General features: G+C 38.5%; 1 pseudogene across 1 annotated transcript; it reads right to left on the bottom strand.

Moving 5' to 3' along the window:
* Nucleotides 1-11,211: 11,211 nt before the first annotated feature.
* OR4N3P (olfactory receptor family 4 subfamily N member 3 pseudogene) lies at nt 11,212-12,148 on the bottom strand (annotated as a pseudogene). The gene has a single exon (NR_028067.1). The product of NR_028067.1 is annotated as an olfactory receptor family 4 subfamily N member 3 pseudogene (transcript).
* Between the last annotated feature and the right edge of the window lie 15,245 nt (nt 12,149-27,393).

Genomic DNA, 27,393 nt, shown 5'->3' with positions numbered 1-27,393 from the left:
TCAGAGCTGAGAGGGTGGTCCTGACTGGCTTGCGCCCTCCCAGTGCACCTCTGTGTCCTCTCCACGCTGCCTGCCTCCCCAGGGCCTGGGCAGCCCCTACCTCCTGCTGATTTCCCTCAGCCCAGCTCCTGCTCGGGGGGAGCCCTGCAGAGCCCTCACTGGGCACCTCTCTCAGAGGCACTGGGCCCCACAGGTAACTGAGCAGGTGCAGCCATCGCTCAGTACAGCTCCTGGGGACAGGTCAGGTGGGTTAGGCTGGGGCTCTGGTGAGGTCAGGCCACACCACCCAGGGGAGACAAGAGCTGAGACACCTCACTTCCCATGTCTCTCTTTTCACGTCTCTTAGGGCAGTCTTCCCCCAGCTGTGTAGCTCAGGAAGAACTCTCAGGGTTCATGTGGAGAAAGAGGCTGTGACCACCCCAGAGGCCTCTTCTCCAGTGAGAAGCAGGGGGACACCCCGGAGGAGCAGACATTCTAAGGCTGCCCGTGAGCCCTGCAACTGGCTCTGTTCCCAGCAGGGAGGTGGAGAGGATGCCACTCAGGAATCACCTCGGAGCCCCGAGAAGAGGGAGGTCTAGATGTTGATTTCTTGGGAAAGGGCTGTGAGCTCAAAGATGGGCTTAGGAATATGGATCACAGAAAAAAATTTGATGTGCAAAAATGAAAAAAAATATGACTTTTATTAAATCATAAAACTGTGATGAAACAGCTGACATCAGTGGAGCAGCCTGCACATTTTCCATCCAGGCATCGTTGAGTCTAGATACGTGTCCCAATTATAGACCATCCAGTCATCCAGGGCTGCCACTTGCAGATGGAAAATTGTACTATTTTCAATCATGCACTGAGGTTTGAATTACTTCACAGACTGAACCAAACAAACATGGGCTCCATTGAAGAGTGTCTGGCATTTGTTTCAACCACAAGAGAACTTTCCCCAGCTCTCCCTCATTCTCGGTTCTCTCCTGCAAGCCAGCAGCCCTGCAGTGTAGCCTGCATCTCCCATGCATCCACCCATCTCCTTCCAAGGGCTTTCCACCACACCATCCACTGTTTTTGAGAGCACTGGCAGGCTTTCAATTTGTCCACATTCTGTTGTTACTGAAGTTAGGATTTTTAGGACTAATTAAGGATCATATTTTATGACTGAATTCCATTGCTCCCTCTCTCCTGGGACAGAGCTCCTAAACAAGGTTCTGCAGGTGTAGACAAAGTTGAGCTGTTTTATTCCTCAGCCTAGGAGCTGAGCTCTCAGTGGAGGGTCGGGCAGGAGCTTCCCACCTTCTCAGCACTTCGGTTATTGTGGGGTGGAACCTCTGCCATAGGACAGAGCTAGAAACCAGAGACCCAGTGTTCCCAGTGGCACTGGACCCGGGGCAGAGCCTCCATCCATGAGTGGGGCTCCATGGAAGAAGTGAGTCTCTGGCTCTCGGTAGCTCTTGTTCAGCACTGAACCTCAGCATCATGTGCTGTGTGCAGGGTCAGAGGGCCAACGTACTGGGCCCTGGGGAAGAGTTTCCTCTGGTGGGAGTTGGTAGAAGGTGTCCTGTCTTCTTGGCTGCATCTGTCGGCAGTGGAGTTTACATCATGCTGAGCTGGGATGTGGAAGGAAGGAAGATCATCTTAGATCAAGCATGATGACTGGCCTTACCGAGTTTTCTAGATTTTCTTGAATAAATATTTCTTCACTTGCTTTATGCTGTTAGAGCCTTTCCAAACCCTGTAATTTTTCAAAATAATTTTCACTGGTCTCATGAGGGCCTGGATTCACTGAAACCCTCATGCTGTCGAAGAGAAATAGAATTTTTTTTCACTTTTTAGAGAACACCCATGCGTTATAAAATAATGGGTTGACTTTTCATCCAACACTTTACAGATACCATCAACTTTCCTCTTGCTTGTAAGGTTTTAACCAGAAGAATGCTGTCATCATCTTTTCTGTTCTTTTGGAAGGAATGCCCCCTCTGCTCACCTCCACTTGCCTGCATATATTTCTATTTGTCTTTCCTTTTCAGCAGTTTTAATAAGATTTACCTAAATGTGTGTGGGGGGATCAGTGGGTGTAATTCTGCTGTTCTGTGTTCTCTGAGATGCATGGATTCACGGTTTACTCTGTCTCCATTTTGGGGAACACAATTAGAAAAAATGTCAGTATGAGCCCAGAAACAAGCCTCCCTGAAGAGGGAACAGGACCACCTGGGGACACTCAGGACCCACTGAGCACAAGAGCCAGCCTCAGGGCAGGTGCAGAGGGAGGTTAAGGTCTGGTTTCCTGTCAGCCCTGTGGCTTCCTCTCCATGAAACAGTTTCCTCCATGAAACAGTTTCAGAATATGTGCCATGGGGTGATGAGAAGAATGTATATTCTGTTGCTTTTTGGTGGAGAGTTCTGTAAACATCTATCAGGTCCATTTGATCCAGTGCTGAGTTAAGGTCCTGAATATCTTTGCTAATTTTCTGCCTAAGTGATGTGTCTAATACTGTCAGTAGGGTGTTGAAGTCTCTCATTATTATTGTGTGTGAGTCTAAGTCTCTTTGTAGGTTTCTAAGAATTTGTTTGAACAGGGTGCTCCTGTGTTAAGTGCGCGTATATTTAGGATAGTTAGCACTACTTGTTGAATTGAACCCTTTGCCATTATGTCATTACCCTTTTTTGTCTTTTTTTATCTTTGTTGGTTTAAAGTCTGTTTTGTCTGAAATTAGGATTACAATCTCTGTATTTTTTATGTTTTCTATTTACTTAGTAGATTTTCCTCCATCCCTTTATTTTGAGGCTATGGGTGTCATTGCATATGAGCCTATGGGTGTCATTGCATGTGAGCCTATGTGTGTCATTGCATGTGAGCCTATGCGTGTCATTGCATGTGAGCCTATGCGTGTCACTGCATGTCTCTTGAGACAGCATACCATTGGGTCTTGCTTTTTTATCCAGCTTATCACTCTGTGCCTTTTAATTGGGGCATTTACCCCTTTTACATTCAAAGTTAGTATTGATATGTGTAGATTTGATCCTGTCATCATGCTGTTAGTTGGTTACCATACATACTTGTTTGTGTGGCTGCTTTCTAGTGTCATTGGTCTATGTACTTCAGTGTATTTTTGAAGTGGTTGGTAATGATATTTCCTTTTCTTATTTAGTGCTTCCTTCAGGAGCTCTTGTAAGGCAGGTCAGTCTGGTAGTAACAAATTCCCTCAGCATTTGCTTGTCTGAAAAGGATCTTATTTCTCCTTCACTTATGAAGCATAGTTTGGCTAGATGTAAAATTCTAGTTTGGAATTTCTTTTCTTTAAGAATCTTGAATATTGGCCCCCAACCTCTTCTGGTTTGTAGAGTTTTTGTTGAGAGGTCTGCTTAGTCTTATGGGCTTCCCTTTGTAGGTGACCTGACCTTTCTCTCTGGCTGCCTTTTGCATTTTTTTCTTTCATTTCAACCTTGGAAAATCTGATAATTATGTGTCCTGGAGGTGATCTTCCTGTGAAGTACCTTAAATGGGTTTTTGTATTTTCTGAATTTGAATGTTAGCCTCTCTAGCTAGGTTGAGGAAGTTCTCATGAATGATATCCTGGAATATGTTTTCCAAGTTGCTGCCATTCTCCCCATCTCCTTCAGGGACACCAGTGAATCATAGATTTGTTCTCTTTACATAAACATATTTATCAGAGGTTTTGTTTCTTCCTTTTCATTCTTTTTTCTCTATTCTTGTCTGCCTGTCTTGTTTCAGAATGCCAGTCTTAAAGCACTAATATCATTTCTTCTGCTTGGTCTATTCTGCTGTTAATAGTTGTGATTGCATCATGAAATTTTTGCAGTGTGTTTTTCAGTTCTATCAGGTCAGTTATGTTCTTTTCTATACTGTCTATTTTGTCTGTCAGCTCCTGCATTGTTTTATTGTGATTCTTAGCTTCCTTGGATTGGGTTTCAACATACTCCTGTACCTTGTTGCTCTTCATTTCTATCCATACTCCAAATTCTATTTGTGTCACTTCAGCCAACCCAGTTCAGTTAAAAACTTTTGGTGGAGAGCTGGTGGAGGCATTCGGAGGAAAGACAGCATGCTGGCTTTTTGACTTGTCAGAGTTCTTGCACTGTTTTTTTCTCATTTTTGTGGGCTAGTGTTTTTTCAATCTTTGAAGTTCTTGTCCTTTGGATTTTTTTTTTATCTTATTAGATGACTTTGAGAGTTTGATTGTGTTATAAAGTGGGTTCAGTCAACTGGCTTTATTTCTGGAAGATTTTGGGGACCAAGGTTCAGCTGTCATCTCCCCAGCTGCATGTTTTAATTCTGGGGGACTTATATCCTACCCTACTTTGTTCTCTGACTTCTCAAGATTATGAACAGACTGTGATGGGGGTGCTAAGGTGCTCCTGGACTGCTGGTCACTACACGTTGATGGAATGGTGCTAGTCAAAGGGTTTTGTAGTGTGGTGGCAGTAGGGGGGGGGGGTCTGTCCTCATTCACAGGTGCCCTCAGCAGCACCAGAACCAGCAGTATTAAATCAGGATGCATGCTTGTCAGCTGCAGCAGACTGCTAGCAGGTGCTGAGATGCCTGCCTCCATGAAGGCATTGACAGCAGGGGTAGAGTCAGCATAACTTGGGGGGTCAGCAGGCCCCCATTGGTGACTGTGTGCATTGGTGCACTGATGGTGGTGTTAGTATGGGGGCAGGACACTGGTGGGTTCAGGTGTGTGTGCACCCTCTGTGGCTACTCAGGGCAGGGGAGGGTTCATTGTTTTCAGTGCCTAGTTTCATTCTGGTGGCAGTGTTGGCACAGGGGCAGGTCACTGACAGAGGCAGGACTGGTGGGCTCTGTGCCCACTACAGCTCTGACTGCAATGGTAGTATGGCCGAGGAAGGGGAGCAGAGTGCACTCCTGCTGGCAGCAGAGGCAGGGCAGCGTACACGTGCTCACACAAGCTGGTGGTGAAGGGAAGGGAAAATCCACCTGCACACATACAAGCCAGCCAAATGATGTCAGGGGGCAGGGGTGGTTGGCCATGGGCTTGGAAGAAGCTGCAGCAGAGGGAGGGAGCAGGCAGGTTGGTGCATGGCCCTAGGGGCCACCCCGCTGGAGCTCTCCACCAATTAGATATGGTCTGCCATTGCAGAAGCTAAGATGCGGGTCCCCAGGGAACCTGAGTCTGTACTGCAAGCAGAAAAAAACCAGGCTGGAGCACTGGGAGAGGTCAGCAGACCAGGGGGTACTAAGGTTGGATCTGCCCCATCTGATGGGAAGACTGCCCTGCAGAATTCATATCTGACAGTTCCCCTAGGGCTAAAGTCTCCTATGGAGGCAAGTCAAGTCTGGAGAGATGGGTATCCCTGGCCGTGCTCTGCTATAGATGTTCCTGCAACAAACCCTCTGGGCTCCATATCGGCTACCATGCTGCTCCTACCACTCCTCTAAGCACTTCCCCTGCCAACTCTGTGTCTGTAGTGGTTGAGGGGTCTCCTCCCGGTGGGATTCCAGAGGCTTGTGGCAAGAGTAGGTTGCTTCTTGCCAGTTCAACTCACCCATTCCCCCAAAGTTCTTGGGGGTGAGGAACGAGTCCCATTGCACGGTAGCCCCACCCAGCTTCTGCCCAGCTTTTGTGTCTTGAGGACCTGTTAGGACTGTGCCAGTCATCCCAGTCCCACAGTGACAGCTGTTCTATCTGTCTGCAACTAGTCAGACATCTTGACCAAATTGGAAGTTTCTTACAAAGCTGAGCATAGCCTTACCATATGATCACACTCCCAGGCACTTACCCAACTGATTTGAAACATGTGTACACAAAAACCCAGTCATGAATGTTTACAGCAACTTCATTCCCTAACAGCCAAAAATTGGAGACAATCACAATGTTCTTCAACGAGTGTATGAATAAACAAACTGTGCTATATTTACAATAGAATGTTATTCAGCAATAAAAAGGTCATTAACTACCAAGCCATAAAAAAGCATGAATGAATCTTAAATGCATAATGCTAGCTGAAAGAAGCCAGTTTTGAAAGGTTATATACTGTATGACTCCAATTGTATGACATTCTAGAAAAATTAAAACTATAGAGACAGTAAAAGACTGGTGGTTACCAAGAGTACAAGGAGAAGAAAGAAGAGTGGAATAATTTAAGTTGAAGAACAATTTAGGGTGAAGAAATTATTCTTTCTAATGCTGTAGAAATGAATACATGATATTATAAATATGTCAAAAATTATAGAAAAAACTTAATTTGTGTAAGTTTTAACAACTATACTACAACAAATTGAATAACCTTGAAGAAATAGATAAATTTCTGGACACAATTTGTCAAAATTAAATTAAGAGGAAATAAAAAATCTTAACCGATCAATAAGGAATAAAATTGAATCAATAGTTTCAAAAATCTCACAGCAAAGAAAAGCCCAGGACCTAATGGATTCTGTTTTAAATTTTACCAAACATTTGAAAAAGAACTAATACCAATTTATTGAAATTGAATAGGCATACTCATTTTAGAAGGCCTGCATTACTCTGATACCTAAGCCACAGGTGGATACTAAAAGAAAAGTTCAATCCAGTGTCTCTGATGAACATAAATGCCAGAATACTAACACATTAAATCTGGCAGCACATTAAAAGGATAATTCATGGTTAGCAAGCACAGTGATATTTGAACATATGCAAATCAATAAATGTGATATACCACATTGGCAGAATGAAAGGCAAAAACCATATGGTTACCTCAATAGATGCAGAAAAGGCATTGACAAAATTCAACATCCTTCATCATAAAAACTTCCAACAAATTATGCTTAGAAGGAACCTACCACAGTGATAAATGCCACATATTACAATCGCACAGCTAACATCATATTCAATGGTGAAAAATTGAAAGCTTTCCTTCTAAGATCAGAAAGAAAATAAGGATGCCCACTCTCACCGAGTCTACTCAATATATTACTGAAAGTACTAGCTAGAGTAAGTAGGTAAGAAATAAAAGGCAACCAAATTGCAAAAGAAGAAGTAAAATTGTCTGTTTGCAGATGACGTGATCTTATATCGAGAAAATCCTAAAGATGTCCTCAAAAAAACCTTCTAGAATAAGTGAGTTCATAAAGCTGCAGATTAAAAAATGAACATACAAAAACTAGTGGTATCTCTGAACAGTAACAATGAATTATCTGAAAAGGAAGTCAAGAAAACAATCCCATTTATAACTATAAAAAATTAAAACAAAATACTTAGGAATAAATTCAACCAGGAGGTTTAATCTCTGTACACTGAAAACTATAATACATTGATGAAATAAATGGAAAAAGAGAATTAAAAGTAAATATACCTATGTACATTAATTTTAAAAAATTAATATTGTTAAAATATCTAAAATAATTAAATTACCTACAGATTCTATCAAGTCCCTATTAAAATTCCGATGGCATTCATCATAGAAATGGAAAAAACAAAACCAAATTTGTATGTACTTGTACAAGACTCTAAATAGCCAAAGTAATTTTGAGAAAAAGGAACAAAGCTGGAAGCATCACACTCACTGCTTCAAACTCTACTACAAAGCCATATTAATTAAAACAGTATGGTACTATAAAAACATGACACATAACAATGGAACACAGTAGGGAGCCCAAAAATAAATTCACACATATATGGCCAACTAAGATTTGACAAGGGTGCCAATAATACACAATGGGAAAAGAAAAGTCTATTTAATAAATGCTGTTGTAAAAGCTAAATATCCACATGCAAAAGAAAGAAACTGAAGTCTTGTCTTATGACATATACTAAAACTAACTGGAAATGAATTAAAGATTTAAATGTAAAACCTGAAACTGTAAAACTACCAGAAGAAAACATAAGGAAAAAACACCTTGACAACAGTCTTGGCAATCATTTTTTGGATATGACCACAAAAGCACAGGCAACAAAAAATAAACAAGTGGGACTATATCAACTAAAAATTCCACTGCGCCACAAAAGAAACAATTGACCAAATTAAAAGGTAACCTATCGAATGGGAGAAAATATTAGTAAACCATATGTATGATAAGGGGTTAATACTCATAATATATTAGGAAGTACGCAAGTCAACAGTAAAACAACAAACAACCTGATTTTTACAATTGGCAAAGATTTTAACAGACATATTCCCAAAACAGACATAGAAATAGCCAACATGTATATGAAAAGGTGCTCAACATCATCAACCATTGGGAAAATGAAATTAAAACCGCAATGAAACATCACCTCATACCTACTGTAATGGCCATTATGAGAAGACACATGATAACAAGTGTTGGTAAGGATGTGGAGAAAAGGGAACCCTTTCACACTATTGATGGGAATGTAAATTGGCACAGGCATTATGGAAAACAATATAGATGTTCTTCAAAAAATAAAAAATAAAACTTCCATATGTTCCAGCAATCTCACTTCTAGATATATACCCAAAGGAAATGAAATAAGTATCTCTAAAAGATAACTATACTGCTATGTTCACTGCAGCATCATTCACTATAGCCAAAATATGGAAACAACCCAAGTGTACATCAATTGATGAATGAGTATAAAAATTGTGGTACATATATGTGATAGATTATCATCCAGCCAAAGAAAGAAGGAAGTTTTGCCCTTTGCAGCAACATAGATAAACCTAATAGACATTACGGTAGGTGAAATAAGCCAGACACAGAAAGACAGACACTATATGATCTCACTTACATGTAGAATCTGAAAAAAAAAAAAAAAAGCTCATTGAAGGAGAGAGTAGAACAGTGGTTGTCAGAGGGTTTTGAAGTCAGAGAAAAGGGGAATATGTTGGTCAAATGGTACAAACTTTCAGCCCTAAGATAAACACATTCTTGGTAACTAATGTACAACATGGATGGTGATTAATGTGTTAATTTGATTGTGGTAATCATTATACAATGTATATGTATATCAAATTATCATTTCATATACCTTGAATATATTTGATCTTTATGTGTCAATTAAATATTTATAAATTTAAAAATCTACAAAAGAAACAAATCATTTCAATTCTATACAATAAAAAAGAACTATCTAAAAGGGAAATTAAGAAATTAATCTCATTTCCATTAGAACCAAAAAATAAAATATTTAGGAGTAAACTTAAACAAAGAGGTGAAAGACTTGTACACTTAAACTGTAAAACATTGATGAAAGAAATTAAAGCAGATGGAAATAAACGGAAAGACTTTCTGTGTTAATGGAATAGAACAATTAATATTGTTAAAATATCCACACTACCTGAAGCAATCTATAGATTCAATACAATCTCTGTGAAAATCCCAACATCATTTTTTAAAGAAATTTTTAAAAATCCTAAAATTCATGTGGAGACACAAAGACTCATGAAGTGACATGGACAGGGGAAAAGGTGGCAAGAAGGTTTTATTTAGGAGGGAATAAATGCGGTTACACGCTAAAGGTTACACCCAATAGGGAGGACAAAGTTCATGTTATAGGTGAGAGAAAGGAGAGTTACCAGAGTAATTGCCTTTAGTAGAGAGGACGGGATGGAATCTGGTGCACAGGTGGAAGGGTTTACTTCTGTAGGAGCAGGATCAGGTCACCCAGTTTCAGGAGAAGTTAAAGGAAACTTAATCACAGATGCAGGTTGTATAGTGGTAGTGATGGGAGATTAAGGAATTCTCACCTGTTACCTTTCTCAGTAAAACAGGAAGCAACACAATAAACAGAGTGATAATAGAGGAGGATTATTTGAAGATTCAGACCACTTTTTCTATAGTCTGAATATTTTTACCATGTACAAAATTTATATTCCTAAGTATAAACTTTGGTTTTTATCAAAAATAAAATATTTTAAAACTCAATTTTTGACCCCCTTGCATTTGGGGTTCCAGATGTTTTGGATGCTGCCCATTTAATGTACTCATTTGAGATTTGAATATGTAGTAAGCTAGTTAAAGGGAGGCAGTAGGATAGGCTTCTGTTATACTAGGGGCGATTTGTTAGGTCCAAAGTGATTCCGGATCATCAACTTGATCCCAGGCACATGGCTAAAATTGTAGTGTTTTTCAGACAACAGATGGCTAAGATTGTAGCAAGAACAACTTCCCTGACAACATAGGTCACCTGTGTTAGTCTGTAAGTCATCTCTGGGTGTCCAGCCTATAGTCTGCTGTTCTAGACTTTGCAGTGATTTTGTGAACACCTCTCTTGATATTAAATGATGTTTTGTTTAAAATAGCTGGAATGGTTTCTTCTCTCTGACACAAAATCCTGATTGGTCTATGAAAAGACTGTCATTATTAAACTTACAGTGAAATCAATTGGCAATAAGGTCAAACATACAGCTAAAAGTCATAAAAATTTGCTAGGATTAATAATGAAGCTGCAGAAAAAAAAAGTAAAATTTTTTTTGATCTTTTTCAGTAAAAGTAACCAGCTTTCTTTTGCCACTCTCTGCTTACGTATGTAAGAAAAATTGGTAGTTTAATATCTTTCAAAGTGCACTTACAAATATAATATTTTCCTCTTAATGATATTTTTCAACTCTTTGATATCTGCATAGAATCTTGAGTTTACAGCCCTAAGTCATTTATGACCCTTCAGTAGAGGAATCACTCTTTTGCTTAAAGCCACAGAATGGCTTCTTATTGTAATTGTAATAAAATGAAAACTCACATTTACTATGTAGACCATATGTTTTTGACACTACCAGTATCTCTAACTTTAAGTTTAATCATTTTCACATTAAATTACTATATTCTTGGTAACATGGACTTTATTGTATTCTTCAAATATACCAAGTTCATCATCATCTTTGAGTTTTTGCACTGCCTGTGCCCTCTGTCTACCATACTATAGCCACAAAAGTTTGCATGTTTGGCTTCTTCAGTTTATCCAGATATGATCCAAAATGTCAGCTCTTCAAGGCCTTTTTTTATTATTAAACACAAATTGGTTACTCCCAATCCAGAGTCACAGTTTATCATTTCACTTTTCGTTTTAGTTTTTACAGAGCAGTATCTCTTCCTGAAACTATGCTGTTTATTTTCTACCTTAACGGCGGTCTATTTTTACTAGGTTGTATCTCTTGGAGAGCAGATAGACCTTATCTGCCTCAATACTTTCTTTCTTCAGTTCCTAGAATAGTCCTGACAAATGGGAGGTATTCAATGATTGCAGTACTTGGAAATAAACAAATCAATTTCAGATAAAATTCTACAGTCTATTTTTATTCTTTTTTTTTTTGCCCTTTTTCAGGCTATGTGTTTATTAAACACCTTTTTCATGGAAGCTTTCACTTCCTGGTTATGAAGGGTATAAATGACAGGATTCAACAAAGGAAGAATCACTGTGTGGAAGAGAGAAACCACCTTGTCGGCTGGGAAAGCCCTGAAGGGGCACGTGTAGATGAAGATGCCAGGTCCAAACATGAAGAATATAACAATGATATGGGTGGTGCATGTGGACATGGCCTTGTTTTTTGCCTCAGAAGAAGACGCTCGTATGCGACAAAGAATGACTGCATAGGAGGCCAGAAGTCCCAGAAAGCACATGAGTGTCATCAGGCCACTATTGAAGACCATCAGAAGCTCCACCACAAACATGTCGGTGCAAGCCAGCTTGATGACCTGTCGGACATCACAGAAGAAGTTGTCCAGCTGGTTTGGGCCACAAAAAGGCAAGCGGATGATGAGGACCACCTGGATAATGGAGTGGACAAAACCCCCAAGCCACAGAGCCAACATCATTGCATAGCAGGCTCTAGAGTTCATGACAGTTGAATACTGCAGAGGCAGGCAGATGGTGATGTAGCGGTCAAAGGCCATCACAACAAGGAGTAATCCCTCCCCTCCTCCAAGGAAGTGCAAGAAAAAGAGCTGAGTGATGCAGCCTCTGTAGGAGATTACCTTCTTCTCAGAGAGGAAGTCCACCAACATCTTGGGAGCCACAATGAAGGAGTAGGATGCATCCAGGAAGGCCAAGTTGCCCAGAAATAAATAGAGGGGGGCTGTGAGCCCAGGGTCTGACCTTATGGTGAAAATAATGAGAAAATTTCCAGGGAGGATGAAGAAGTAGAATATTAAAACTAGCACAAAGACCAGGAGCTAAATATCTCGAAACTGGGTCAAACGAAGGAGGATGAATTCTCTTATCACTGTTCTGTTCTCGCTTTCCATTTCCCTGGCCTGCAGTACATTAAGAAGCAGAATTAATTGTTATTGCTATGTCTTCCAACTAGATACTAGTTCTACAGCTAAAAAATATTTGGCACATATAGTACTTCAGCTAAAAACAACACTTCCCATCCCTCTCCTATTCTGGGGAAACTCCGTTACCTTAATTTCTCCAAATTTAAAATGAAAAATGAAAACAAAATATGGTTCTCAAAGCTACAGGTTTATTCCCATTCAACCATGTGCTTCTACAGAATCATTTTCCATGTTAGGAGTCTGGTATCCTCCACGTTGGGATTCCTACATTCCTAAATCATGTAAGTTTCCTAATGGAGACACAACCTAACTTCAAATCTGAAGGTCTTTGAGTTTTTTGGATATACTATGCTTGAGGGTTAGTTCTTTTCTTGGGATTAGACCCTTTTTCTCCTTGTCCACACCACCCCCAAATTTTCCTAGACATTTTCTTCCCTCAGTTCCTGTGTAATTCCCAGTTCCTAGCTGGTAACTCTCTTCCTTGCCCTCTGTCTTATCATCTAATTTACTTCTTATTATACTCCTTTTGGTCTGATATCCTTGAATACTCTTTTCCCAGACTGTTCACGAGAATCCCAAGCTATAGCTCCACTTTTGACCTAACACAGGCACAGTGCTCCAGCTGTAACTCTGTTTGAACACCACTCCTGTGGCCACTCCACACCTGCATGCAGCTTATTTAGCACTTTTTGAGTTTCAAATACTAATAAACTCACAACACATTTCTTTCTCTGTTCCAAGTATGACACCCAAGATACAGCCCTTTAACAAAAAATATGCTACAATATAAAATTTGCAAGTATAAAACTTTAAAATATCATTATCTCAACTCATAAGATCATAGCATAGATACACTGTAAGTAGCCATAAAGATACTGTAGTGTTATTCTTCCATTTCAAAGATGAGAAATAACCTGTAGTTATATTACTTAAGTTTAGAGTGAGTTTTATTTTTTGCTCTGCTTGATAAGTAGTAGGATAATGCAAGTGTATACTATTCAGTTTAAATAGATAAAGAATTTTTTAATCACAGCTTCAATGAATGAATGTTCTTTTTGTGCATCTGAATAACTAAAGATAATATTGCTAGTCTAAAATCACTCCCGTATTGCTTTGATTTGTAAGTTCAACCTTGTTTAAATAAAAAGAAAAACAATGTCCATTGTGAAGAAAATTCATATTTAAAATTCAGATTGTTTTCATGGGGTATACTCATTCCAGAAGGTGCACATGATAATCCACTGAAGTATAGAAAGAACATAGTAATTTATCTATATTTAGTCAGTGTATAACATTTTATATGTATCACTACATTTCATTCTTTTCTAAATTCACTTTTTAATATTTATAATGGATAACATAGTACAATGGTTTATATATACTTTATAAATAAATATGCATACATTTAAGGTTACATATTCAAAAAATGTCTTAGGGGAGTAAATTTTTTAAGTTTGAAAATTGTTGGCCTACAACAAAATACAAACTGTAATATAAAAGGATATTCTTAATATGATTTAACTAAACAGTGTATTTGTTTTAAATAAGTGCTCTAGCGGCCGGGCGTGGTGGCTTATGCCTGTAATCCCAGCACTTTGGGAGGCCAAGGCGGGTGGATCACGAGGTCAGGAGATCGAGACCATCTTGGCTAACATGGTGAAACCCCGTCTCTACTAAAAAAATACAAAAAAAATTAGCCGTAGTGGTGGTGGTTGCCTGTAGTCCCAGCTACTCAGGAGGCTGAGGCAGGAGAATGGTGTGAACCCAGGAGGCAGAGCTTTCAGTGAGCCGAGATCATGCCACTGCACTCCAGCCTGGGTGACAGAGCGAGACTCTGTCTCAAAATAAATAAATAAATAAATAAATAAATAAATAAATAAATAAGTGCTCTAGCACATGGGGTACGGAAGGAAGGGAAAATCTTTGACAGAAAATGCTACTGCAACAGTACCTAGAAAAGAAAGACAAGAAGATAGAGGATGAGGGAAGAAAGAAGAGAGAAATAGAAAATCAGGCAAACAAACACCAAACAAGCAAACAAACAAGCAAACAAACACCAAAAGACAGACAGCACATCTATATAGTGTCATCTTAGGGTACATATTTTAAGAAGCATTAAAACTATCTGCTTTATGTATCCCTAGAGTGGAATAGAGTGGTTAATACAGAAATTTCTGGGTGTTACTGGCAGCCACATGTGGAATTTATGAAAGTCATATTTTAACACATCATCATATATACATATGCAAATACCACATGAACACACACGTATGCACACACATACAAACACATGCAAAATTGTAATAGGAAAAAATATTTTGTAGATCCTTCAAATGAGCTTTTCTGCTCATGTCTTAACCTTTTCCCCCTTTGCCAGCCATTTGTCTCAACATTTATTCTACTATCTGCCTATATAAATATTTCCTTAAATCAAGAGCCCCTTCTACAGTTGACAATTGAACAATGCAGGAGTTAAGGGGGCAGATCCCCTGTGCAATAAAAAATTAGCACATACCCTGACTCCCTAAAAACTTAGCTTCTAATGATTACTGTTGATCAGAAGCTTTGCTGGTAACATAAACAGTTGAATAACAAATATTTTTGTTTTATGTATTATATACTATATTCCTACAATAAATTAAGCTACAGAAAATAAAATATAACAAAATCATAAGGAAAGGAAGATATAAATACTGTTCATTAAGTGGAAGCAAATCATCATAAAGTTCTTATCGTTGTCGTCTTCCCACTGAGTAGGCTGAGGAGAAGGAAAAGGAAGGGTTCGTTTTGCTGTCTCAGGGGTGGCAGAGGTGGAAGAAAATCCACATATAAGTGGACACGTGTGGTTCAAACCCATGTTTTTCTGGAGTCAACTGTACTTACTTATATGTTTTATGCATCCCACATGCTAACATAGAGTGAGGTATTTCTTGATGTGTTAGCATTTAACAATATCCCTGAGACATTTGAGGATTTCTGAAGGACTTTGAAATTGAAGGTTATAAGCTCTTCCATTCTGCCTGTGTCCCAGCCTCACTGTTATTTTTCCACTGTTTCTTAACAGATGGGATTCTGTACTACTTGACATCTTGATCAACTTTCTTCCCTGTCCCATTTCCATCTTTGAATTATCTCTACCTTCTCTAAATTGTGGTTGGAATAGACGCAGAGACTAATCAGATGAGCGTTCCTCTAAGCAAAATAAAATAAGTTTCTACCAAAAAAAAAAAATCCATAAATGATGACGTCATCAGAGTAAAGTGTTCTATTTTAGCCAAATTAGTAGAGAAAGTTCTGTCAAAACTCTGTACCATACCCTCCTCACTGTATCTCTAATCGTTCTTGCCATTTCAGCTAATTCGTGGATTGATCAGTTTCTGGCCATGATGACACACTGCAGAAATAGGGAAGATGAAGGAGAAGGGTTCACCACATTTGCAAGGTGGAGACACAGAAACATCTCCAGGCAACTCTGTGTGTGCATGCCTGGAGTCTGAGTGTGGTCAGATGGGCTGCTGGAGCCAAGTGTTTAGAGATCTTATGTGCTTACTCCGCCTCCTTCCTTATTTTTCTTTTTCTCTCTTTCTTTATTCATCAATAAGCAGTTCATTTTCTTTTTTTTTCTGGTTGTGACTTCTTTTCCCTGTTAATTTGTTGCCTGTTCTTTTCCCCTTCTCTGTTTCTTTCTGGCTCTATTTATTTTGTTCTCTTTAAATATTGTTCTTTATTTTTTTTTCTTTCTTCTCCCTTACATTTATCTATGTTTTTTCACTCTGATATGTTTTCACTCTCTCCACTTTTTGTCTATGTTCATGGCTACTCCATTCTACCCACACCTGTCTTGCTAATGCATCTAAAAACAAAACGAAACAAGAAACAGAAAATCTCGTTGTCATTTGCTTTTCCAACAAGACTGAGAAATGTGTGTGCTTCCCACCATCTTCCATTTTAAATGTTAAGTCTACAAAATGAAAATGTATAATTCACTCTTCAGTAATAACCATTTACTTTTAAGTGGTATTCTTGCAATTGGCCAACGCTGAGTCATTTATCAACTACTTCATATATATGTAGTGAACCTGATAAAAATGAGATGATTCACCTTTTTTTAAAAAAAAAGTTAATTTCATTAGTAGCATCCTAATGAAATAAATATATTGAATGTAAATTTCAAAAATAGAGATGTAATATTAGTAGTAATAATTTACTAACTACACAAGGTTAGTAAATTATTTGAGTATGAAATAAGTTTTATATTTTCTAAAAAGTGTGAATCAGGCTGAGAACATAATAGAAAATTTAATTTATACTGATGCTGATGCTGAGTATATAAAGCACTAAACAAATGTATAGATTCTTAGCCAGAAAATTTATTCATCAATCAAATGAGATGGCCAGATTAAATGCCCTCTAAATTCCATTTGAATGCCAGTTTTTTAGGCAATGTAATAACATAAAAGGATCCCTGGTTTGGGAATCATTTATCTGACTCTCATGCCTTGACTGAGCAATTAACTTACTGTGTGATTCTGGCAAAGTCACTTAGCTTTCAGAAGCCTGAGTTTTCATCTACCAAATAGTTTAATGTATTGACTCTTTGGGTCTGATGGGGGTAACATGAGGATCAAATGAGGTGATGATGGTATTAATATGTAATTCATTCAAGTATGCTTCAACCAAAGTTAATCCTGAAAATATTTAGATGTTAAAAGTAGTTATATTGAATGGACAGAATGCTGCTAGATCTTTTGTCAATGTCTTTGAGTAACCCCTGGGATAATGGTAGTTGCATAAATCTGAATGGTTAATAGAAAGAAGCTGTGGAGGGTCAGTAATGCCTTCATGTAAAATTGCCAATACAGCTAGTAGTTTGTATATCAAGCTTTTTTTCAGTTCTACAGCTTTCTGTCAAAATTCTATGAATAAATGATAGAACCATATGTAACAGAAGAAACTTTCATACCTGCTGAATGTGAAAATGAAGAGGTCAAGGACTTACCTTCCGCAAAATCATAAAATCTGTTAAGTTTTTCTCTGGAGCTTTTAGCCAACCATTTCTGCATCCTCCTCCCCTTTCTTCCATATTTAATAAGGAAAATGATACATATCAGTCATTTGTATGATTTTTTGTTTTTTAACACCAGATGTCAATTCTCTTGAGTCTATGGAAAATTATAATAGAATTAAAGGTTTAGTTCACCAGTAAAGTAATCCCAAGCATTAAATGCAGATGGAGATCTATTAGGAGAGAGAATACACAGTGCCCCACTGCTGAATTTAGACCTTAGCCTGTGGCTATTCCTGCTAATACTCTGACCTGTCTATTCAACTGCAATCTAAGATATCAGGTGAACAAGTAAAATAGTTGCAATATTTTTTCTATTGTCTCTTTCTTCTTGTTTCTTGTATATATATGAAGAGCTCCAGAAATTTAAGCCTTCAGGGATCTTATGTTACTCTCACAAAGTAGCCATCCTCCCTCTCCTAGTAAGACTAACCAATTTTGCCATTGTTCATAAATGTTCATTGCCACATGAGGAACCTTAGATTTTAAAATCTCTCTATTGTAATGGAGAAAGTGCTTTTGAGATTTGAGACTACCGTGACCCACTGAATGCTTCCAAAGGGAGTTATTAGGCAAACTATATTAGTTATCAACTAAATAAGGCAAAGAAAAATACCAGAGCTTTGCAAGAATTAATTTTTTTTAAATGTGCTACATAATGCCAAGCTGACTTCCTTTCTAGTTCTAAAACAAAAATTCTACTGTGAAAAAGACAGAACCCTATTCAGAAGCATACTTTTTAGTCCAGAAGTAAATAGAAGTTTGAGAGAAGTAAATTTACATGTTATAATAAAATTCAAAAGGAGAAAAATATTAAATAAATGATGAGAGATTATTGCTTTGTACCACAAAAGCAAGCAGGGGTAGGATGAGGCAAAAATTACATATATACATATATATATATATATATATATATATATATATATATATATATATGTGACTAGACTCAAATTTTTCAATTAAAGGCTTCACCAAACTTTAGAGGGTGGCTGGCAAGATGGCCAGATAAGAGCAAGTCCAGTCTGCAGCTCCCAGCAAGACCAATGCAGAAGGTGGGTGATTTCTGCATTTCCAACTGAGGTACCCGGCTCATCTCATTGGGACTGGTTAGACAGTGGGTTCAGCCTACGGAGGATGAGCCAAAGCAGGGTGGGGCATCACCTCACCCGGGAAGTGGAAGGGTTCAGGGAACTCCCTCCCCGGCCAAGGGAAGCCATGAGAGACTGTGCCAAGAGGAATGGTGGATTCTGATCCACATACTAGGCTTTTCCCATGGTTTTTGCAACCTGCAGACCAGGAGATTCCCTTGGGTGCCTACACCACCAGGGCCCTGGGTTTCAAGCACAAAACTAGGCAGCCATTTGGGCAGACACTGAGGTAGAAGCAGGAGTTTTTTTCATACCCCAGTGGCACCCGGAATGCCAGCAAGATAGAACGATTCACTCCCCTGGAAATGGGGCTGAAGCCAGGGAGTCAAGTGGTCTATCTCAGTGGATCCCACCCCCATGGAGCCCAGCAAGCTAAGATCCACTGGCTTGAAATTCTTGCTGCCAGCACAGCACTCTGAAGTTGACCTGGGACACTCGAGCTTGGTTGGGGTAGGGGCATCCGCCATTACTGAGGCTTGAGTAGGCACTTTTCTCTTCACAGTGTAAATAAAACCACCAGGAAGTTTGAACTGGGCAGAGCCCACTGCAACCCAGCAAAGCAGCTATAGCCAGACTGCTTCTCTAGATTTCTCCTCTCTGGGCAGGGTATCTCTGAAAGAAAGGCAGCGTCCCCAGTCAGGGGCTTATAGATAAAAATCCCATCTCCCTGGGACAGAGCACCTGGGGGGAAGGGCGGCTGTGGGCACAGCTTCAGCAGACTTAAATGTTCCTGCCTGCCATCTCTGAAGGGAGCAGCAGATCTCCCAGCAAAGCGCTTGAACTCTGCTAAGGGACAGACTGCCTCCTCAAGTGGCTCCCTGATGCCTGTGCCTCCTGACTGGGAGACACCTCCTAGCAGGAGTTGACAGACACCTCATACGGGAGATCTCCAGCTGGCATCTGGCTGGTGCCCCTCTGGGACAAAGCTTCCAGAAGAAGGAACAGGCAGTAGTCTTTGCTGTTCTGCAGCATCTGCGATGACACCCAGGTAAACAGGGTCTGGAGTGGACCCGCAGCAAACTCCAGCAGACCTGCAGCAGAAGGGCCTGACTGTTAGAAGGAAAACTAACAAACAGAAAGAAATAGCATCAACATCAACAAAAAGGATGTCCACCCAAAAACACCAACTGAAGGTCACCAACATCAAAGAACAAAGTTAGATAGGTCCAAGAAGATGAGGAAAAACCAGAGCAAAAAGGCTGAAAATTCCAAAAACCAGAACACCTCTTCTCCTCCAAAGTATCACAACTCCTTGCCAGCAAGGGAGCAAAACTGGATGGAGAATGAGTTTGACAAGTTGACAGAAGTAGGCTTCCAAAGATGGGTAGTAACAAACTCCTCTGAGCTAAAGGAGCATGTTCTAACCCAAAACAAGGAAGCTAAGAACCTTGAAAAAGGTTAGAGGAATTGATAACTAAAATAACCACCTTAGAAAAGAACATAAATAACCTGATGGAGCTGAGAAACACAGCACGAGAACTTCATGAAGCATACACAAGTATCAATAGCCAAATCAATTGAGTGGATGAAAGGATACCAGGGATTGAAGATCAACTTAATGAAATAAAGCGTGAAGACAAGATTGGAGAAAAAAGATTGAAAAGGAATGAACAAATCCTCCAAGAAATATGGGACTATGTGAAAAGACCAAACCTACGTTTGATTGGTGTACCTGAAAGTGACGGGGAGAATGGAACCAAGTTGGAAAACACTCTTCAGGATATTATCCAGGAGAACTTTCCCAACCTAGCAAGACAGGCCAGCATTCAAATTCAGGAAATACAGAGAACACCACAAAGATACTCCTCGAGAAGAGCAACCCCAAGAAACATAATTGTCAGATTCACCAAGGTTGAAATGAAGGAAAAAATGTTAAGGTCAGCCAGGAAGAAAGGTCAAGTAGTTACCCACAAAGGGAAGTCCATCAGACTAACAGTGGATCTCTCTGCAGAAACCCTACAAGCCAGAAAGAAGTGGGGGCCAATATTCAACGTTCTTAAAGAAAAGAATTTTCAAACCAGAATTTAATATCCAGCCAAACAAAGTTTCATAGATGAAGGAGAAATAAAATCCTTTACAGATAAGAAAATACTAACAGATTTTTGTCACCACCAGGCCTGCCTTACAAGACCTCCAGAAGGAAGCACCAAATATGGAAAGAAAAACTGGTACCAGCCACTGCAAAAACATACCAAATTGTAAAGACTATTGAAGCTATGAAAAAACTGCATCAACTAACAGGCAAAATAACCAGATAACATCATAATGACAGGATCAAATTCACACATAACAATGTTAACCTTAAATGTAAATGGGTTAAGTCCCCAGTTAGAATACACAGACTGGTAAATTGGATAGAGACTCAAGACCCATTGGTGTGCTGTATTCAGGAGACCCATCTCACGTGCAAAGACACACATAGGCTCAAAATGAAGGGATGGAGGAAGATTTACCAAGCATATTGAAAGCCAAAAAAAAGCAGGGGTTGCAATCCTAGTCTCTGATAAAACAGACTTTAAACCAACAAAGATCAAAAAAGACAAAAAAGGGCATTACATAATGGTAAACGGATCAATGCAACAAGAAAAGCTAACTATCCCAAATATGTATGCACCTAATACAGGAGCACCCATATTCATAAAGCAAGTCCTTAGAGATATACAAAGAGACTTACATTCCCACACAATAATAGTGGGAGACTTTAACACCCCACTGTCAATATTAGACAGATCAAGAGACAGAAAATTAACAAGGACATTCAGGACTTGAACTCAGCTCTGGACCAAGCAGAACTAATAGACATCTACAAAACTCTCCACCCCAAATCAACAGAATATACATTCTTTTCAGCACCACATCACACTTATTATAAAATTGACCACATAATTGGAAGTAAAACACTCCTCAGCAAATGCAAAAGAACAGAAATCATAACAAATAGTCTCTCAGATCACAGTGCAATCAAATTAGAACTCAGGATTAAGAAACTCACTCAAAACTGCACAACTGCATGGAAACTGAACAACCTGCTCCTGAATGACTACTGGGTAAATAACGAAATTTAGGCAGAAATAAATAAGTTCTTTGAAACCAATGAGAACAAAGACACAATGTACGAGAATCTCTGGGACACAGCTAATGCAGTGTTTACAGGAAAATTTATAGCACTAAATGCCAACAGCTTAAAGCAGGAAAGATCTAAAATCAACACCCTAACATTACAATTAAAAGAACTAGAGAAGTAAGAGCAGACAAATTCAAAAGCTAGCAGAAGACAAGAAATAACTAAGATCAGAGCAGAACTGAAGGAGATAGAGACACAAAAAACCCTTCAAAAAATCAATGCATCCAGGAGCTGGTTTTTTGAAAACATTAACAAAATAAATAGACCACTAACCAGACTAATGAAGAAAAGAAAGAAGAATCAAATAGACACAATAGAAAATGATAAAGGGGTATCACCACTGATCCCATAGAAATACAAACTACCATCAGAGAATACTACAAACACCTCTACACAAATAAACTAGAAAATCTACAAGAAATGGATAAATTCCTGGGCACATACACCCTCCCAAGACTGAACCAGGAAGAAGTCAAATCCCTGAATAGACAAATAACAAGTTCTGAAATCGAGGCAGTAATTAATAGCCTACCAACCAAAAAAAAGTCCAGGACCAGACAGATTCACAGCCAAATTCTACCAGAGGTACAAAGAGGAGCTGGTACCATTCCTTCAGAAACTATTACAAACAATAGAAAAAGAGGGACTCCTCCCTAACTCATTTTATGAGGCCAGCATCATCCTGATACCAAAACCTGGCAGAGACACACATAAAAAAGAAAATTTCAGGCCAATATCCCTGATGAACATCAATGCAAAAATCCTCAATAAAATACTGGCAAACCGAATCCAGCAGCACATCAAAAAGCTTATCCACCATGATCAAGTTGGCTTCATCCCTGGAATGCAAGGCTGGTTCAACATACCCAATCAGTAAACATAATCCATCACATAAACAGAACCAATGACAAACATCACATGATTATCTCAATAGATGCAGAAAAGGCCTTCGGTAAAATTCACCCCTTCATGCTAAAAACTCTAAATAAACTAGGTATTGATGGAACGTATCTGAAAATAATAAGAGCTATTTATGACACACCCACAGCCAATATCATACCGAATGGGCAAAAGCTGGAAGCATTCTCTTTGAAAACCAGCACAAGACAAGGATGCCTTTTCTCACCATTCTTATTCAACACAGCATTGGAAGTTCTGGCCAGGGCAATCAGGGAAGAGAAAGAAATAAAGCGTATTCAAATAGGAAGAGAGGGAGGTAAATTGTCAAAGTTTGCAGATGACATGATTGTATATTTAGAAAACCCCATCATCTTAGCCCAAAATCTCCTTAAGCTCATAAGCAACTTCAGCAAAGTCTCAGGATACAAAATCAATGTGCAAAAATTACAAACATTCCTATATACCATTAATAGATAAACAGCCAAATCATGAGTGAACTCCCATTCACAACTGCTACAAAGAGAATGAAATACCTAGGAATACAACTAACAAGGGATATGAAGGACCTCTTCAAGGAGAATTACAAACCACTGCTCAAGGAAAAAGAGAGGACACAAATGGAAAAACGTTCTGTGCTCATGGATAGGAAGAATCAATATCATGAAAATGGCCATACTGCCCAAAGTAATTTACAGATTCAATGCTATCCCCATCAAGCTACCATTGATTTTCTTCACAGAATTAGAAAAAACAACTTTAAATTTCATACAGAACCAAAAAAGAGCCTGTATAGCCAAGACAATCCTAAGCAAAAAGAAAGAGGCATCACACTACCTGACTTCGAACTATACTACAAGGCCGCAGTAACCAAAACAGCATGGTACTGGTACCAAAACAGATATATAGACCAATGGAACAGAAAAGAGGCCTTAGAAATAATGCCACACATCTACAACCATCTGGTCTTTAACAAGCCTGACAAAAGCAAGCAATGGGAAAAGGATTCCCTATTTAATAAATGGTGTTGTGAAAACTGGCTAGACATATGCAGAAAACTGAAACTGAACCCCTTCCTTACACCTTATACAAAATTAACTCAAGATGGATTAAAGGAGTAAATGGAAAACCTAAAACCATAAAAACCCTAGAAGAAAACCTAGGCAATACCATTCAGGACATAGGCATGGGCAAAGACTTCATGACTAAAACACCAAAACCAATGGCAACAAAAGCCAAAATTGACAAATGAGATCTAATTAAACTAAAGAGCTTCTGCACAGCAAAAAAACAAACAAACAAACAAAAAAAAAAACCTCTCATCAGAGTGGACAGTCAACCTACAGAATGAGAGGAAATTTTTGCAATCTATCCAGCTGACAAAGGGCTAATATCTAGCATCTACAGGGAACTTAAACAAATTTACAAGAAAAAAAACAACCCTATCAAAAAGTGAACAAAGGATATGAACAGACACTTCTCAAAAGAAGACATTTATGCAGCCAACAAACATATGAAAAAAAAGCTCATCATCACTGGTCATTAGAGAAATGCAAATCAAAACCACAATGAGATACCATCTCATGCCAGTTAGAATGGTGATCATTAAAAGGTCAGGAAACAGCAGATGCTGGAGAGGATGTGGAGAAATAGGAACCCTTTTACACTGTTGGTGGGAGGGTAAATTAGTTCAACCATTGTAGAAGACAGTGTAGCGATTCCTCAAGGATGTAGAACCAGAAATACCATTTGACCCAGCAATCCCATTACTGGGTATATACCCAAAGAATTATATATCATTCTACTATAAAGACACATGCACATGTATGTTTACTGTGGCACTGTTCACAATAGCAAAGACTTTGAACCAACCCAAATGCCCATCAATCATAGACTGGATAAAGAAAATGGGTCACATATACTTTATGGAATACTATGCAGCCATAAAAAAGGATGAGTTCATGTCATTTGCAGGGATATGGATGAAGCTAGAAACCATCATTCTCAGCAAACTAACACAGGAACAGAAAACCAAACACCACATGTTCTTACTCTTAAGTGGGAGTTGAACAGTGAGAACACAGGGACACAGGGAGGGGAATATCCCACACGGGGGCCTGTCACAGGGTGGGGGGCTAGGGGAAGGATAGCATTAGGAGAAATACCTAATGTAGGTGACAGGTTGATGGGTGCAGCAAACCACCATGGCACATATTTACCTATGTAACAAACCTGCATATTCTACGCATGTATCCCAGAACTTAAAGTATAATTTTTAAAAAAGACTTCACCAATATTATTTATTTTTCCTGTTGCCTCAGGTTCCAACATGGCTCAACATGGCAGTTGCTGATCCTGCCTTTGCTTAAAATTTGGTACTTTATCACAAATTTTAAAATTAATTTTGATTTCTCAAAATATTGATTTAAATGTTTATCTCTACTATTGAGTTTTTGGGCACGCCTTTAAATTTTGCATGCAAGATAAGCACCTTACTCAGTTGTAGGATGTTGACGGTGATAAGGACATTAGCAAAGGAAATATTGAAAAGCTCATGAATACTGCTGCATAATTCTTCTTAGAGAAAATAGTTTCTTAGTATAGGATAGAACAATTGCTAAAGGGAAGGTGATCTCCTACATAGCATGAAAAGATGTGTCATGATCTTGGTATTTGTAATTTGTTCCCTTTCACTCTGCTCAACTAAAACAAGGATGAAAAACATTTTTCCATTAAAGATTATTAATTTTAAAAATTATTTGAGTCAGAAAAAATAAATGCAAATTAATTTTATTAATTTTATTTAAAAATTAGTTTAATCTTTTGCTTTAAAGAAAACACTGAGTTTATGGGTCACTTTACAAGTGAAATAAGAACACAGATTTGGGGGTAATAAACATAATTTATCACCAAATACATTTGTTTTAATTTATTTCACAGTTCAAAAACAAAGTGTAAGAGTAGAAAAAGGAAAGAAAGAAGAAAGGAGAGAGAGAGAAGTACAGAAAAAGTTACAATAATCAAAATAAAAATCAAGAGAAAAGGGAAAAGAAAGACTAGCAGAGACATAAATGGAAAGATAGTCGTATGACTTAAAAACAAATGGTGAAGAGACAGAGAGATACTAGTCCATGAGGAGAGCAAGACCATCCAGAGGCAAAACTCCTTATCCAAGGAATTCAGAAGTAATTAGACATCCCTATTATGTAAAGCTGGCATCTGGTATGAGATTTCTTTTCCAAAAATTTGTGAGTAACCAGAATTTCTATGCATCTCTGGAATGCATGTATTCTAAACTCATTGTGCAATCCCTGCTGACATCAAGGCACCAAAATGTCTATAAATGTAATTGTTTACCATGACCTATGTGGCTAATATGGTAAAAATTACCCTTAAGCTCCCACTTTAAGGTCCATAAATACCCTAAGGAAAAATCTACTGCAGTGGCGTCCTCAGTCCTCTCTTGCTGAGGAGCCCTGCTGCACTCCTCTGCAGCGTTCTTTCCATCTAATACAACTTTCCTTTTCAAATCTATACAGTTGTTGGTAAATTCTTCTTACTACCCACAAGCCAACCACACTCCACTGCCTGGGCTGTGACAGCTCGCATGGCAGTCCATATAAATGCACAGTCTACAAATCCATATAACCATAAAAAGAAAACAATGATAAAGAGAGCTGCACAGAGGAAAATAGAGAAAGGAAGCAAAATGAATGAGGTTAGATACGTTCTTAAGTGGAATAACAACCCCATCTTGGAGTAGGTTAGTCTTGCCACCAAAACTTTTAAAAACATGATTTTTTTTCATAATTGTGCATATAATCCAGGATCTTACTCACCTCTTAATGTTCACTCTAATAGATAAGATAAAATTAATCTGAAGATCTAAAATAGTCCTCAAAATGGAGACTTTTTAATCCTTCTAGGAAAGTTTTATCACCTTGGATAGATTTTCTCTTCTAGATAATCTTGAATTAATTTTACAATGAAAAGTATTACTGGTATTTTATTAAATTGTATTCTATTTATGCATTGACATGTATATATTCAATATTATTTTTAACCAACAAGAGTTTGTCTCTGAATTTATTCATTTTTTTCTCAAAAAAATGACCACTTTTTATATGAAAAGATACTTCCCAAAAGAAAACATGTATACGGCCAATAAGCATATGAAAAAAAAAATGCTCAGCTTGACTATGCATTAGAGAAATGCAAATCAAAACCACAATGAGATACCATCTCACACCAGTCAGAAGGACTATTATTAAAAAGTCAAAGAATGGCTGGGCACGGTGGCTCACGCCTATAATCCCAGCACTTTGGGAGGCCGAGGTGGGCAGATCACGAGGTCAGGAGATCGAGACCATTCTGGCTAACACGGTGAAACCCCGTCTGTAATAAAAAATACAAAAAAAAAAAATTACCTGGGCGTGGTGGCGGGCGCCTGTAGTCCCAGCTACTCAGGAGGCTGAGGCAGGAGAATGGCGTGAACCTGGGAGGCGCAGCTTGCAGTGAGCCGAGATCGCGCCACTGCACTCCAGCCTGGGCGACAGAGCGAGACTCCGTCTCAAAAAAAAAAAAAAAAAAAAGAAAAGAAAAAAAAAGAAAAGTCAAAAAATAAAAATTCAAAGAGAATTTTTTTTTCTTTTTTTACTTTTATGGCATGACTTCTAGTATTTTTATATCCTTAACACTTTATACAAAAAAATCAAAGGAAGAAGAATAATAACATTTAAGTTTACTTTGTTTCGTTTTTCAGAGTTAATAGTTGTTTCACATTCTCACCAAGATTTAGTTTTTAAATGTTGATCTTGTATCCTGCAACCCTTGATAAATTTCCTTGTAAATTCTAGTTCTTTAAAGACACCATAGTATGCTCTACACATACATTTCTTCTATGAATAAATAGATTTTTATTTTTTTCTTCCTAATATTAATACCTTTAAAAAAAACTTTATTTCAGTGGTTAGCACAT

This window comes from Homo sapiens, chromosome 15 (genome assembly GCF_000001405.40).
Source record: "Homo sapiens chromosome 15, GRCh38.p14 Primary Assembly".
In the NCBI taxonomy this organism is placed as follows: Eukaryota; Metazoa; Chordata; class Mammalia; order Primates; family Hominidae; genus Homo; species Homo sapiens.
This window is presented reverse-complemented; position numbering and strand designations above follow the sequence as displayed.